We start from the raw sequence: 15,447 nt of genomic DNA, 5'->3' as shown, positions 1-15,447 counted from the left end.
GGGGGAACATCGTGTTCAGAGGTAACAGTTTGTGAAAAGACATTATATACTGAGAGAACAGGGCAGGAAGAGTGTATCTTTTATTAGACATAGAGTGAGATAATGCTGATAACATCAGTGTGCAGGATACATTGAAGAGGAGAGACTGTAGGCCAAGAGAACAAATTGGAGGAGTTAAGATACAGGTGAGATACAATATGGACTTGGAAAAGGACAGTGTCACTAAATTAATAAGAAGAGCAGAAAGTTGTAAAAAAAAAATTCCTAAAGTGTAATTGATGAGATTTTAGCATAGTTTTTAAAAGATGTGAATTTGACATAGAAAGTGAATGCCTTAAGGCAGGGATTCTATTTTGTTTATGCTTTAAGCTGGCTCCGAGGTTTGCAGTGGGGCTTGTATGGGAGAAGAAAATGCTCGTCTCAATGACATTCTCCAAAAGTGACACTTTTCAAGTTTCTGAAGATATTGTGTTGATTCATGATGATGAAGCCTGATGGTAACATGATAGAGGAAGCAAGCTGAAAGTGAGAATCTTTTGCTTTGTATGTGATTAGAACATGAGTGTTTAGACCGTGACATAAATGGAACGTGAAAGAATGGTGGTGCCACTTTATGCCTTCTTCATCTCCAACCCATTAACAAGATCAAGTTCCCAGCCTGATCCAACTCCTGACTTCCTTTTCCTGATGTCAGAGCTTCAAAATCATTCTGATTGATTCATGCTTAATCAATGCCTATTAAATATATGGGTTTAAAAATGAATGAATGATGCCAAAATTCAACTGACCACATAATAAACACTGTGTGGACATTTAAAAAAAAAGTTGTGAAATTACCCAGTGATCAATCTCAACATATAAAGACAAAAGAAGTTCTGCCATCTGTGTACAACACAGTGTGGATCATTACAATAAAATGTGGAATGACTTTATTAACTAAATGGGAAAACAAAGAAGACTCTATAAATTAGCATTCCCAGAAAAGAGAAGTGTATGTGTACTGTGTGCGGTATAGCTGGCAAGGGGACAAACGTTATAGAATTGGGCTAAAAATGTAGGCAAGGGCCAGAACAGGCATCACCCTATAGATCACTTTAAAGTTTGCTTTTTATTCTGAATGCAGTAGAAAGACTGCATTTATTTTACCCATATTTTAAGAATATGGGTAAGATAACAAGATTCATGATGTAAAGTTAGATCTGTCTGCAGTGAGGAAAACTTACTAGGTGAGGACTACAGCGAATGGCAGAAAAATCAGCCAGAGATTTTTTTTTTTCAGGGATAAGAGACTTAGGTTAGAATGGTGGCCTTGGAAATCGAGAATAGAGGATGGATTTAACAGAACCTTATAAGGTAAAAATAGAAGTTTATAATGAATTGGAAGTGGGGTGTGATGGTTAAGCAAAAGGGGACATCAGGGTTTCCAGCTTGTATGACAGGATGGACTTGACCATTAGTCAAGTCATGACTGACTTGCATAGTGGGGCCTTCCATTGTGGTAGGAGAGGATAGAATATGACCAGTAGGTGGTAGAGAGGGGACAATATTATAATTTTTGTTTTGAAGATATCCAATTGGAGATAAACTTATGAAGGGGTCTAGGATGGAGACATCAATTTGAAAATCATCTGCAATATGTAGTAGCCAAAGAAAGTTTCCCAGTGAAAATATTTGGTATGAGAAAAAGAAAAGAATATATGAATCAGTCTTGAGGAATTCCAAATATTTAATGGACAGGTTGAACACATGAAACAGAAAGGATATAACCAAAAAGGCGAGGCTAACTCAGGAGTGTGCAGGGCTGTGGAAGCCTAGAGAAAAGAGAGTTCTTAGAATGAGGGAGTGATTAATTACACAAAGCACCACCAAGGATTATATTACACATGGACTGAGCAGTGTCCACTTTGTTCAGTGACATGATGATCCTTGGTGAGCCTAGGAAAATCTGTTTCAAGAGAGTGATGGAAGCGAGGCTGGAATGTTATGACCAGTGAGAAGGAGGAGGTGAAGATATAAACAGTAAAGTATAAAATGAGGTTGTTCAAAAATATTGAAGAGAGAGAGTAGTAGGAATAAGGAGAGAGAGAGAGAGAGAGAGAGAGAGAAGATACAGACTTAAAGGAAGATCCTTTCATTGTTGTTGTGGAGACCTTATTTTTCTTTTAATAAGAGAGACTTTAGCATATTTCCACACTTGATCATCATTCATTTGAAAGGGTAAAGAATTTTAGGATGAGTTCCTCAGGAAGAACAAGAAAATGACATGCTGAATCAAAGGAACGCAAAGAGATAATAGAAAACATGGCATCGCACAAGAAATATTTCCATTGGTATACCCACAACTTGATGACAAAAATGAATATAGTTTTGAAGAAAAATAAATCGCAATAAAATGCATGGATTACAGTCATTTACTACCGGCTAAAAGATAGGTTGCAGGATATGCTCAGTTCTAGTCATTTCAAAAGTTCTGTAAAGTTATAAGTAACTTCATTCTATCCTTCACTCAAGTGAAGCAGATTGGAGTGCAAGTACAATACAATTATTTCAGGGATAATTTGAATCTTTTAAAAATTATTTTTTAAATATGTATTTAATCATTAGTAATAAGGTATTTGCAATGCATTTAAAAACCAATGAAGACAAGTGTCAGGCCTCTGAGCCCAAGCTAAGCCATCATATCCCCTGTGACCGGCACATACACATCCAGATGGCCAGTTTCTGCCTTAACTGATGACATTCCACCACAAAAGAAGTGAAAATGGCCTGTTCCTGCCTTAATTGATGACATTGTCTTGTGAAATTCCTTCTCCTGGCCCATCCTGGCTCAAAAGCTCTCCTACTGAGCACTTTGTGACCCCCACTCTGCCCGCCAGAGAACAACCCCCCTTTGTCTGTAATTTTCTTTTATCTACCCAAATCCTATAAAATGACCCCACCCTTATCTCCCTTCGCTGACTCTCTTTTCAGACTCAGCCTCCCTGCACCCAGGTGATCAAAAGCTTTATTGCTCACACAAAGCCTGTTTGGTGGTCTCTTCACACAGACACGCATGAAATTTGGTGCCGTGACTCAGATTGGGGGACCTCCCTTGGGAGATCAATCCCCTGTCCTCCTGCTCTTTGCTCTGTGAAAAAGATCCACCTATGACCTCAGGTCCTCAGACTGACCAGCCCAAGAAACATCTCACCAATTTCAAATACAGTAAGCGGCCTCTTTTTACTCTCTTCTCCAACCTCCCTCAGTATCCCTCAACCTCTTTCTCCTTTCAATCTTGGCACCACACTTCAATCTCTCCCTTCTTTTAATTTCAATTCCTTTCATTTTCTGGTAGAGACAAAGGAGACACGTTTTATCTGTGGACCCAAAACTCCGGCGCCAGTCACAGACTGGGAAGGCAGCCTTCCCTTGGTGTTTAATCATTGCAGGGACGCCTCTCTGGTTATTCACCCAGGTTTCAGAGGTGTCAGACCACGCAGGGATGCCTGCCTTGGTCTTTCACCCTTAGCGGCAAGTCCCGCTTTTCTGGGGGAGAGGCAAGTACCCCAACCCCCTCTCTCCGTGTCTCTACCCCTTCTCCACCTTTCTGGGGGGCAAGAAACCCCCAACCCCTTCTCCTTCACCCTTAGCAGCAAGTCCCGCTTTTCTAGGGGAGGGGCAAGTACCCCAGACTCGTATCTCTGTGCCCTGATCCCTTATTTCCACACCCCAACCTCTTATATCTCTGTACCCTGATCCCTTATTTCCACGCCCCAACCTCTTATATCTCTGTGACCCAACCCCTTATTTCTGTGCCCTGACCCCTTCTCTGCTTTTCTGGAGGGCAAGAACACCCTACCCCTTCTCCATGTCTCTACTTTCTTTTCTCTGGGCTTGCCTCCTTCACTATAGGCAAGCTTCCACCTTCCATTCCTCCTTCTTCTCCCTTAGCCTGTGTTCTTAAGAACTTAAAACCTCTTCACATCTCACCTGACCTAAAATCTAAGCATCTTATTTTCTTCTGCAATGCCGCTTGACCCCAATACAAACTCGACTGTAGTTCCAAATAGCCAGAAAATGGCACTTTCAATTTTTCCATCCTACAAGATCTAAATAATTCTTGTCGTAAAATGGGCAAATGATCTGAGATGCCTGACATCCAGGCATTCTTTTACACATCAGTCCCTCTCTAGCCTCTGTTCCCAATGCAACTCATCCCAAATCTTCCTTCTTTCCCTCCCATCTGTCCCCTCAGTCCCAACCCCAAGAGTCGCTGAGTCTTTCTAATCTTCCTTTTCTACAGACCCATCTGACCTCTCCCCTCCTTGCCAGGCTGAGCCAGGTCCCAATTCTTCCTCAGCCTCTGCTCCCCTACCCTATAATCCTTTTATCACCTCCCCTCCTCACAGCTGGTCCAGCTTACAGTTTCATTCCTCGACTAGCCCTCCCCCACCTGCCCAGCAATTTCCTCTTAAAAAGGTGGCTGGAGCCAAAGGCATAGTCAAGGTTAATGCTCCTTCTTCTTTATCTGACCTCTCCCAATATCAGTGAGCATTTAGGCTCTTTTTCATCAAATATGAAAAACCCAGCCCAGTTCATGGCTCCTTTGGCAGCAACCCTGAGATGCTTTACAGCCCTAGACCCTAAAAGGTCAAAAGGCCGTCTTATTCTCAATATGCATTTTATCACCCCATCCACTCCTGGCATTAGGAAAAAACTTCAAAAATTAGAATCTGGCCCTCAAACCCCACAACAGGAGTTAATCAACCTCACCTTCAAGGTGTGCAATAATAGAGAGGAAGCAGCCAGACGGCAACACATTTCTGAGTTACAATTACTTGCTCTGCTGTGAGGCAAAACCCAGCCACACCTCCAGCATACAAGACCTTCCAAACGCCTAAACCGCAGTGGCCAGGTGTTCCTCCAGAACCGCTTCCCCCAGGAGCTTGCTACAAGTGCCAGAAATCTGGCCACCAGGCCAAGCAATGCCCACAGCCCAGGATTCCTCCTAAGCTGTGTCCCATCTGTGCAGGACCCCACTGGAAATCGGATGGAAATCGGACTGTTCAACTCACCTGGCAGCCACTCCCAGAGCCCCTGGTACTCTGGCCCAAGGCTCTCTGACTGACTCCTTCCCAGATCGTCCCGGCTTAGCGGCTGAAGATTGATACTACCCAATCGCCTCAGAAGCCCCCTAGACCATCACGGACGCCAAGCTTCAGGTAACTCTCACAGTGGAGAGTAAGTCCATCCCCTGTTTAATCGATATGGGGGCTACCCACTCCACGTTGCCTTCTTTTCAAAGGCCTGTTTCCCTCGCCCCGATAACTGTTGTAGGTATTGACAGCCAAGCTTCAAAACCCCTTAAAACTCCCCAAATCTAAGCCAACTTAGACAATACTCTTTTAGGCACTCCTTTTTAGTTATCCCCACCTGCCCAGTTCCCTTATTAGGCCGAGACACTTTAACTAAATTATCTGCTTCCCTGACTATTCCTGGGCTACAGCCACACCTCATTGCCACCTTTTCCCCCAGTTCAAAGCCTCCTTCACATCCTCCCCTTGTATCTCCCCACCTTAACCCACAAGTATAAGACACCTCTACTCCCTCCTTAGGGACTGATCATGCACCCCTTACCATCCCATTAAAACCTAATCACTCTTACCTCGCTCAGTGCCAATATCCCATCCCACAGCATGCTTTAAAAGGATTAAAGCCTGTTATCACTTGCCTGTTATCACTCGCCTGTTACAGCATGGCCTTTTAAAGCCTATAAACTCTCCTTACCATTCCCCCATTTTACCTGTCCTAAAACCAGACAAGGCTTACAGGTTAGTTCAGAATCTGCGCCTTATCAACCAAATTGTTTTGCCTAGCCACCCCATAGTGCCAAACCCATATACTTTCCTATCCTCAGTACCTCCCTCTACAACCCATTATTCTGTTCTGGATCTCAAACATGCTTTCTTTACTATTCCTTTGCACCCTTCATCCCAGCCTCTCTTTGTTTTCACTTAGACTAACCCTGACACCCATTAGGCTCAGCAAATTACCTGGGCTGTACTGCCGCAAGGCTTCACAGATAGCCCTCGTTACTTCAGTCAAGCCCAAATTTCATCCTCATCTGTTACCTATCTCGGCATAATTCTCATAAAAACACATGTGCTCTCCCTGCTGATCGTGTCCGATTAATCTCCCAAACCTCAATCCCTTACAAAACAACAACTCCTTTCCTTCCTAGGCATGGTTAGTGCGGTCAGAATTCTTACACAAGAGCCAGGACCGCACCCTGTAGCCTTTCTGTGCAAACAACTTGACCTTACTGTTTTAGCCTAGCCTCATGTCTGCGTGCAGCGGCTGCCGCTGCTTTAATACTTTTAGAGGCCCTCAAAATCACAAAGTATGCTCAACTCACTCTCTACATTTCTCATAACTTCCAAAATCTATTTTCTTCCTCATACCTGACACATATGCTTTCTGCTCCCCGGCTCCTTCAGCTGTACTCACTCTTTGTTAAGTCCCACAATTACCATTGTTCCTGGCCTGGACTTCAATCCAGCCTCACACATTATTCTGGATACCACACCTGACCCTCATGACTGTATCTCTCTGATCCACCTGACATTCGCCCCATTTCCCCATATTTCCTTCTTTCCTGTTCCTCACCCTGATCACACTTGATTTATTGATGGTGGTTCCACCAGGCCTAATCACCACACACCAGCAAAGGCAGGCTATGCTATAGTACAAGCCACTAGCCCGCCTCTTAGAACCTCTCATTTCCTTTCCATCATGGAAACCTATCCTCAAGGAAATAACTTCTTAGTGTTCCATCTGCTATTCTACTACTCCTCAGGGATTAATCAGGCCCCCTCCCTTCCCTACACATCAAGCTCCAAGATTTGCCCCCACCCAGGACTGGCAAATTGGCTTTACTCAACATGCCCTGAGTCAGATGACTAAAATACCTCTTAGTCTAGGTAGACACTTTCACTGGATAGGTAGAGGCCTTTCCTACAGGGTCTGAGAAGGCCACCACAGTCATTTCTTCCCTTCCATCAGGCGTAATTCCTCAGTTTAGCCTTCCTACCTCTATACAGTCTGATAACAGACCAGCCTTTATTAGTCAAATCAGCCAAGCAGTTTTTCAGGCTCTTAGTATTCAGTGAAACCTTAATATCCCTTATGGTCCTCTGTCTTCAGGAAAAGTAGAATGGACTAAAGGTCTTTTAAAAACACACCTCACCAAGCTCAGCCACCAACTTGAAAAGGACTGGACAATACTTTTACCACTTTCCCTTCTCAGAAGTCAGACCTGTCCTCAGAATGCTACAGGGTACAGCCCATTTAAGCTCCTGTATAGACGCTCCTTTTTATTAGGCCCCAGTCTCATTCCAGACACCAGACCAACTTAGACTGTGCCCCAAAAAAACTTGTCATCCCTACTATCTTCTGTCTAGTCATACTCCTATTCACCGTTCTCAACTACTCATACATGCCCTGCTCTTGTTTACACTGCCTGTTTACACTGTTTCTCTAAGCCATCACAGCTGATATCTCCTGGTGCTATCCCCAAATTGCCACTCTAAACTCTTGAAGTAAATAAATAATCTTTGCTGGCAGGACTATGCTGAATCTCCTTAGGCACTCTAATTAGATGTCCTAGGTCCTCCCAATTCTTAGACCTTTAATACCTGTTTTTCTCCTTCTCTTATTCTGTTTAGTTTTTCAATTCATACAAAACCGTATCCAGGCCATCACCAATAATTCTAAATGACAAATGTTTCTTCTAACAACCCCACAATATCACCCCTTACCACAAAATCTTCCTTCAGCTTAATCTCTCCCACTCTAGGTTCCCACGCCGCCCCTAATCCCGCTCGAAGCAGCCCTGAGAAACATCGCCCATTATCTCTCCACACCACCCCCAAAATTTTCGCTGTCCCAACACTGTACCACTATTTCATTTTATTTTTCTTATTAATATAAGAAGACAGGAATGTCAGGCCTCTGAGCCCAAGCTAAGCCATCATATCCCTTGTGACCGGCACGTACACATCCAGATGGCTGGTTCCTGCCTTAACTGATGACATTCCGCCGCAAAAGAAGTGAAAATTGCCTGTTCTTGCCTTAACTGATGACATTGTCTTGTGAAATTCCTTCTCCTGGCTCATCCTGGCTCAAAAGCTCCCCCACTGAGCACCTTGTGACCCCCACTCTGCCCGCCAGAGAACAGCCCCCCTTTGACTGTAATTTTCCTTTACCTACCCAAATCCTATAAAAATGGCCCCACCCTTATCTCTTTTCAGACTCAGCCCGCCTGCACGCAGGTGATTAAAAGCTTTATTGCTCACACAAAGCATGTTTAGTGGTCTCTTCACACGGACGCACATGAAAACAAGAATAATATGAAAACATTGAATGTAAGAATTGCCTCTTTGGATGGCAGTAACTTTCATACACAAGAGTGTTTTATCCCAATAGTCTGGAAGAAAGAAAAACTTGTCACGGAGTGGAAAGATATGAAAACTGGAGCAAAAATATACCCTACTCTTAAAAATCATATTTATGCATATAAAAATGTTTCATTTAGCCTTATAAATTAGCTTAGTTTCTCCATTGTTCCTGGTAGAATAGTCCCATTTAGAGGATTTTCTGTATTTTTTTTGGCTTGAACAGATATTAATAGCTTAATCTTTTGGTATTACGGAATTATATATGCTCATCTGTGAGAGATTCAGAAGACTTCTCAGAAGTACAAATGAGGAATAGAATTCCATTCAGGGAAACATGGTTTGACCTTGTCTACAAACTTGCTGTCTCAATTAGAATGCACATTTTTCTTGAGCAGAAAGGAACCTCTGTGATCACCAGGTCTTCCAGCCTGGCTCAATAACTTTTTGACAGAGGCTAAGTGTAATCAAAAGAAACTGAGGACAGAGGTTATCATTCTCTTTTCCTATCAAATACCAAAACATCTCTTTTAGCTTAGTTTGTGCAGAGAAGCTAGATTTTATGAAAAGAACTCTAACACTGTGTAATTATTGGCCAACAAAAAGTCAGGATTAGGTATCAGATTACAGACCTAGGGCTTCCACATTTCAAAGAGCTATGGAGACTAACAGTGTTTTCAGTAACAAATTATCCTGGAAGAGCTACAGGGAGTGAGGTAAACTGACATAACCCATTAGAGTTGCAAACATTCCCGTAAGACAAAGGGGGACTATTGTGCCACTACCTTGAGGAATTTAAGCATAATAGTTAGATGCTAAATTTTAGATTCAAGTATCTTTTAAGCCTATTCTACAAAAGCAAATATGAAATTAATACAAATTCTGTATTCACAGTGGCAGCATAATGGAAGCAAATCTCTTGTTCAGACCAGCAACCTGCAGATGGAATGCCCCACTTAGTTACATGACTTTTTCTGAGGGTCTCCAATCCCATAGGAAATATACCAAGGATGATGGATGAAAGAGTGAAATAGAATTGTCAGTCTGTAGCTGAAGCATTGATCAAATGGCTGAGTAGCTAACATTTCACTCAGGAAGACCTTGAAAGAGAGATTACATAGCATTGAGTTTCTCCATACAATGATTATAATCTACAAATTAAATTTTTAAACTTTTTGTCCAGTTGAGATGACTCTGGCTTTTTTTTCGCCACAGAATACAACTACTGTGATTGTTTTCCAGTGGTTTGTACATACCACTTTGAACTTTCTTGCCAGATACTCCTTGAGAAAATTGTCAGAACTTCACTTCATGGTTAAAGAACGACTTGAGAATATCTAGAGGTTGAAAATATCTACATTGCTTAGGAAGGACTTTTTAGGCAGATATATCTCTGGTTATTAATCCCTTGTAAGAGAGTTAGTGTGCAAATATTTTCTCCCACTCTGTGTGTTGTCTCTTCACTTTGTTGATTATTTCCTTTGCTGTGAAGAAGCTTCTTAACTTGATGTGATCCCATTTGTCCCTTTTCGCTTTAGTTGCTTGTGCTTATGGGGTATTGCTCAAGAAATTTTCGCCCAGCTCAATACCCTGGAAATTTTCTCCAAATTTTTCTTGTAGTAGTTTCATAGTGTGAGGTCTTAGATTTACATCTTTAATCCATTTTGATATGATTTTTGTATATAGTGAAAGATAGGGGTCTAGTTTCATTCTTTTGCATATGAATATCCAGTTTATCACCATTTATTGAAGACATTGTATTTTCCCCAGTGTATGTTAAATGACTCTATTTCAAAGAAAATAAAATTAATCTTTATGACCCATGTAACTCTTCCTCTGATAGTGGAGGAAAAGAGAAGAAGGATGGGAGGAAACAAGAGTACTATTTCTCAGTGAGCAGCTTTGGAAAACTGCAAGCATTTTGTGTTTTCTTTATTTACTTATGGTACCAATGTTTGCATTAATCCTGACCCTCTATATTAATTATTGCAAGAAATTTCAACTACAGAATTAGCAAAAGACGGGGAAGATTAGATGAAAAGAGCTGGCATTAGGAGGGTATCATCAATTAACCAAAATATTAACATGAATTTCAATTCATTATGGTGAATTGTGTGCACATATTATTCCTCTTGCCTTAAAATAATAGAAAAATAATTTTCAAAAGATAAACAAAAAATTTTAATATATATTTTATTAGACAAAATGAAAGTGGAAGAATGTTGATGGATGAGTAGCAGAGAACGCTGAAAGACAGACGATACCCAGAGAGAACTGAAGGCTGAGAGAGAATCCATCTGGTTCATTGAACATTAGTGAGGCTCTGCATTCAGAGACGGCCAAGGAATCAGATAATTGTGGTAAGAAGTGGTAATAAAATTACGTGGTTTAATAGAAGGTCTTAAAACAGCAAGCTATTTTCCTTCTCTCTTTCTCATACCCACTTAGAACAACTTTGAGCTGGCTTGGGAAAACTTGGGAATGAGTTCAAGGCAACTGGGGAGGTGTGAATCAGAAGAGTCTTATGAAATTTGATGGTTAAAACATTCACTCGTGAGAAGCAGAAGAATTATGAATTTGGATGCAAAGAAATTATAGATAATTTTAGCAGTCTTCTTGACTTTTTAGTGAAGAACATTTACATTACCATAAAATGTAAATGATATGATATGTTTGTGAATGTTTTGAGTGGAACTGTGGTCTCAAAGTCTTGAGAATGTAAATATTAGTCACTTAAAAAATGTAAAAGTAATGTATAAAAAACGGCATTGGAAGTGGAACTTGGGTTGCTTACCAAATGGAGAGCCATTTAGTAGCCTATGAATGAGGAGACAAATAGGGAGTTTATGGATTATGACATGAAAAACATAGGGTTGAAGTGAAAAGAAATTAGAATAGTGACATAATTACTGGATTTAAATAAATAGAGTGGTAGTATTCCTAAGCCAAATTCTTACCTCTTAGCACAATATAAAGAGACAAGGCCTAAAGTGTCAAGTCAGTAAGTAGTAGAATGAGACTGTGTATTATTTAGGCTTATTGATTGCCTCAGAGGAGCAGAACTGGCAGAAATATACAGTCGGTCACTGGATTATAGCTGTTATGAATCCTTTTTAATACCTGACTTTAAAAATTATTCAGTTACTTTGATTAGAATTTGTAAAAATTAAATATTGGAGTAATGCCACCTTATTTTGTTAAAAATTGTAGGAAAACAATATTACAAAATGAATCCATAATTAGTATGAAAAATTAGTTGAGTGTATTTTTTTAATAGCTTCATTACTTTTGGCAATATTTCTTGCTTTAAAATCTGTGTTGAAACAGAAAATGCTTTATACAACAATTCCAGATTTCCAAAATTTGAACCTAAAGTTGATCATATAACAAATAAATGATATGCTAGATTACATTCTGTTCCTTTGCCTACAGAATAAATTTCAAGTTTCCTAACATCTGATTCAATGAACACCTTCTACCAACTTGCTACTCGGGTATTTTTCACTAAACTTAGTAGTTTATGCAGGCTTTTGAATAAGGCTATGTTCATTTCAGTCATGCCTCTGCTGTACACAAGTTGTATGATCTTGGATAAGTACTATCATGTCTCAGTGTGAGCTAAATTACACAAAGTGAGTTTTTGGTTACCTCTTTTATGAAATTGGAATCATTATTTTTATCAGGAAATACCTACCAAATGCTTAGCATAGTATCTAGCATCTAGAAAGTATGGAATAAATCTTAGTATTATCAATATTTCTGGAGTTTTCTATCTACAAAACTTTCTTCATGTAGCCCACATTGCCATCTCATTGTTTTACTCACTAGAATTTGATTATAAAACCTTCCTTTTGTAGCATTTTGCTAGCATCATCATTTACTTAACACTTCACTTTTACTTATTTTAAATGTTTCTCATTTAGAGGTGTAGGTTATACTTTTTTAAGAGTAGAAACTATATTATATTTAATTTTTATCCTAACTCATTAGTATGGTGCCTGACATATGGGAATTAAAATAAATTTTCTTAAAAATAAAATGATAGAAAAACTCTAGAAATTATGTGGAATTCTTAACACAAACTTCAGAATATTGGCTTTTAAATAGGAATATGGAGGTATTTATAATTTCCAGATGTTTTCCAATTAGCTAATTCCTTTACTCTTTACAAATTTGGTAAAACTGTTATCATTATTCTCATTTAAAAAAGATTGAATGTCAACAAGGGACCATGAAGTTTCCACATATTTAGTGATCTAGAATTTGAATCATGAGTAGGTGATAATTTAAATAATTATGGCTTTTGCACTGTGCCATGTCCCATTTTGGAAATTGTTAGAAAGTGGTTTAACTAGGACCGAAACACAGATATCAAAATTCCCAGCAGTATTTTATAACTAAACATTTCTGGCTTTTTTCGCTGGAAAATGAGAGAAACATTGTTTCATTTGTTCTTGATAATAAAATCCAAAAGAATTGTTTTTGAAATTCAAGAAAGACATTGAGCATAGACTGACAAAATGTTTATAAAGTATTAAACATATAGGATCAGGTCTATAATATAAGGCATAACATCTAGAAAACAAAATGGATTTAAGATGTTTAGGCACTTTTGTTAGTCACAATATCAATTTTACTGTTGTTTAAGACCCAAAAGTTATTTTGTGAGAGTCACATATGTTATATAATTTAACGAGAGAGGTAAATCTTGTATCATTTAAGGACCTCACTAACAATAGAGGCATATATTTTAGATAGTTTAATGATAAGACACCCAGAAGAAAATTAATCTCTGCCACTGTTTCTCTGTCTGCCCTTGCCTGAATCACTCCAAGTCTGTATGTTTCACTTTCCTCATCTGCAGCTTGCACTCAATGTTCCTTTCCAGTCTAATATGCTACAGCACTATGAACATCCCTTTAAAATAAAATAAACAGCTAAGTGGAAAATATTAGAGGAGGGTGATTACTAAAGACTTTGAGACAGAGTAGTATCCTTATCTAAAAAAGTATGTTTTCTGTAATTTCAGGATGACTTGCTGCTGCTTTTCATAATTATCGTAAAGCTTGCTAAATTGACAAAAACGGATAATATGTTGTGATACTCTATCCACGAAAATAAAAATGTTTCTTTAAGCTGAAAAAAAGACTTCACACTTCAACAGTGATTTCTATTTGAAATGACTTTATGGAAAATGGCTTACACTCCTTCACTCTAAATTACAGTACATTTTCCCATTGCATTTTTTTAAAAAACATACCTTTAAATTTGGAACTCCCTTTGGGTGACTGAGCTACAAAGCATCTGTAAGATTCAGAGGCTGCCAGAAGGAATGCTGTTACTGACAGGGGAAGATTAATAGCAATATTAGCAGTCCAGATTTGACCCTCTGATAATCTGAGACCTCTATGAAATAGTTGTCTCAGAATTACTGTTTCTATGGTGTATTTATGGAGAGGAACTAGGACAATGAGTGGAAGTTTCCAACTCTAGCAAATAATTCTGGAATTTAAATTTATTTAATATCGAGGGAGAGCAGTATATATGAAACCATGTGTGTTTTTATTTGAATAACATTTCTAAAAGCAGTAGACTGATTATGTTATTAAAGGAACTCCTAAAGAGTGTAGTATTTTATCAGAATTTTATTTTGAGGTTCTATAAAAATAGTCTTATCACAGCAGCCTCTAGTAACATGAACAGTGAGAAAAAGCTAAGGAACATCTCTGTTAAAAACAAATAGATTTTTAGGCCTTCAATGAACCATATGTCACTGCTGAATATACAGCTTTCAAAATGTTCATGGCCAAGGTATAAATAAATACAGCTTATTCATTACAGCAACATGGATTTCTATTTGTAGTAAAACATGTAGTGTGGATCCTCTAGCTCCAGATTTGATCTTCAGTTACAGGCATTCGTTATTGACTGAAAAGCCTTCTACAAATACCAAACAAGATCCCGTAAAATTTCAGTCAGTACATTTTTGGGAAGCAAAGGAAGGTGCTATAGCCCGCTGCTACTTTTGGAACTGTCTTGCTTTTCAGAGCATTGTCACTGTAGGACTGAAACATATGTGAAAATTCTAATGATCGTACATAACTCTCTTCCCTGTTTATTTATTACTTCTGTTTCTCAGACTGCCTCAGGATAGTACACAGCTGAGGGAAAAGGAACACAGAACTGTTAACAGCTTGACTTCAAGGTAACAGACGAAACACTTGCTTTCACGATTTCCTTTGACATTTGATAGGATTTGGAAGTTTGGGAAGGTGTGAGGAAAAGAGGAAAGTTTAGTCTAGCAAGTGCATTCAGATCACATGTGGATAAGACAAAAGAATGGCGACTCTTCCATAGGCATTTTCACAATAAGATTAAGACTAATGGAACTATTTATTACCTTTAATTATAGGCATAAGCATCTGGTAATTAGAACACATTCATAAATTAAAATACCTTTATATAAATTAGAAGTTTTGGGTGTTTTTTCACTCAAAAGTGTTTTGGGGAATAAATGAAAGAAGTTATACAAATAAATTAAGTACTAAATAATTTATATGGTGAGAAGAGTTTGGGAAAGCCAATAGTGGCAAGATTGCATGAAGCCCTGATTTTATTAAAGCTGGACGTGAAAATTGAGTGACATTCAGCCTTTGCCATTCCAGGCCTTACATTATCCATTTTGACTAGTAAATGCTTGGAAAAGAGAGCCAAAAGTTCCCTTCCACCATAACATTCTAGGATTGTATGAAAGCATAAATTTAAAAATTTGTTTATACTGACTTCTCTATTACAGACATTGCTTTTCTGGCTTCTTTATCTGTAAGGACTATTTATTTATATTAGTATATACATATATATACATACACTGTTATCTGAAGTACACGTAGAAGTAGTCACAATGTACGCATATATACAAGATTTTATGTTGACCTGGAATCTGGGAATATGTTGACATCTCACATGGCTTCTTAGCAGTTTCTTAGCTATAATGGTTATATTCTAAATATATTCT

At 38.9% G+C, this 15,447-nt stretch overlaps 1 annotated feature.

Moving 5' to 3' along the window:
• Nucleotides 4,426-4,926: an enhancer, noted in NCBI's record as "H3K27ac hESC enhancer chr3:191616621-191617121 (GRCh37/hg19 assembly coordinates)". NCBI's record gives its function as "activates a minimal SCP1, AML or CMV promoter by ChIP-STARR-seq in naive H9 embryonic stem cells {active_cell/tissue: H9 hESC(naive)}" and the evidence as "EXISTENCE:reporter gene assay evidence [ECO:0000049][PMID:30033119]".

Source organism: Homo sapiens, chromosome 3 (genome assembly GCF_000001405.40).
Source record: "Homo sapiens chromosome 3, GRCh38.p14 Primary Assembly".
In the NCBI taxonomy this organism is placed as follows: Eukaryota; Metazoa; Chordata; class Mammalia; order Primates; family Hominidae; genus Homo; species Homo sapiens.
This window is presented reverse-complemented; position numbering and strand designations above follow the sequence as displayed.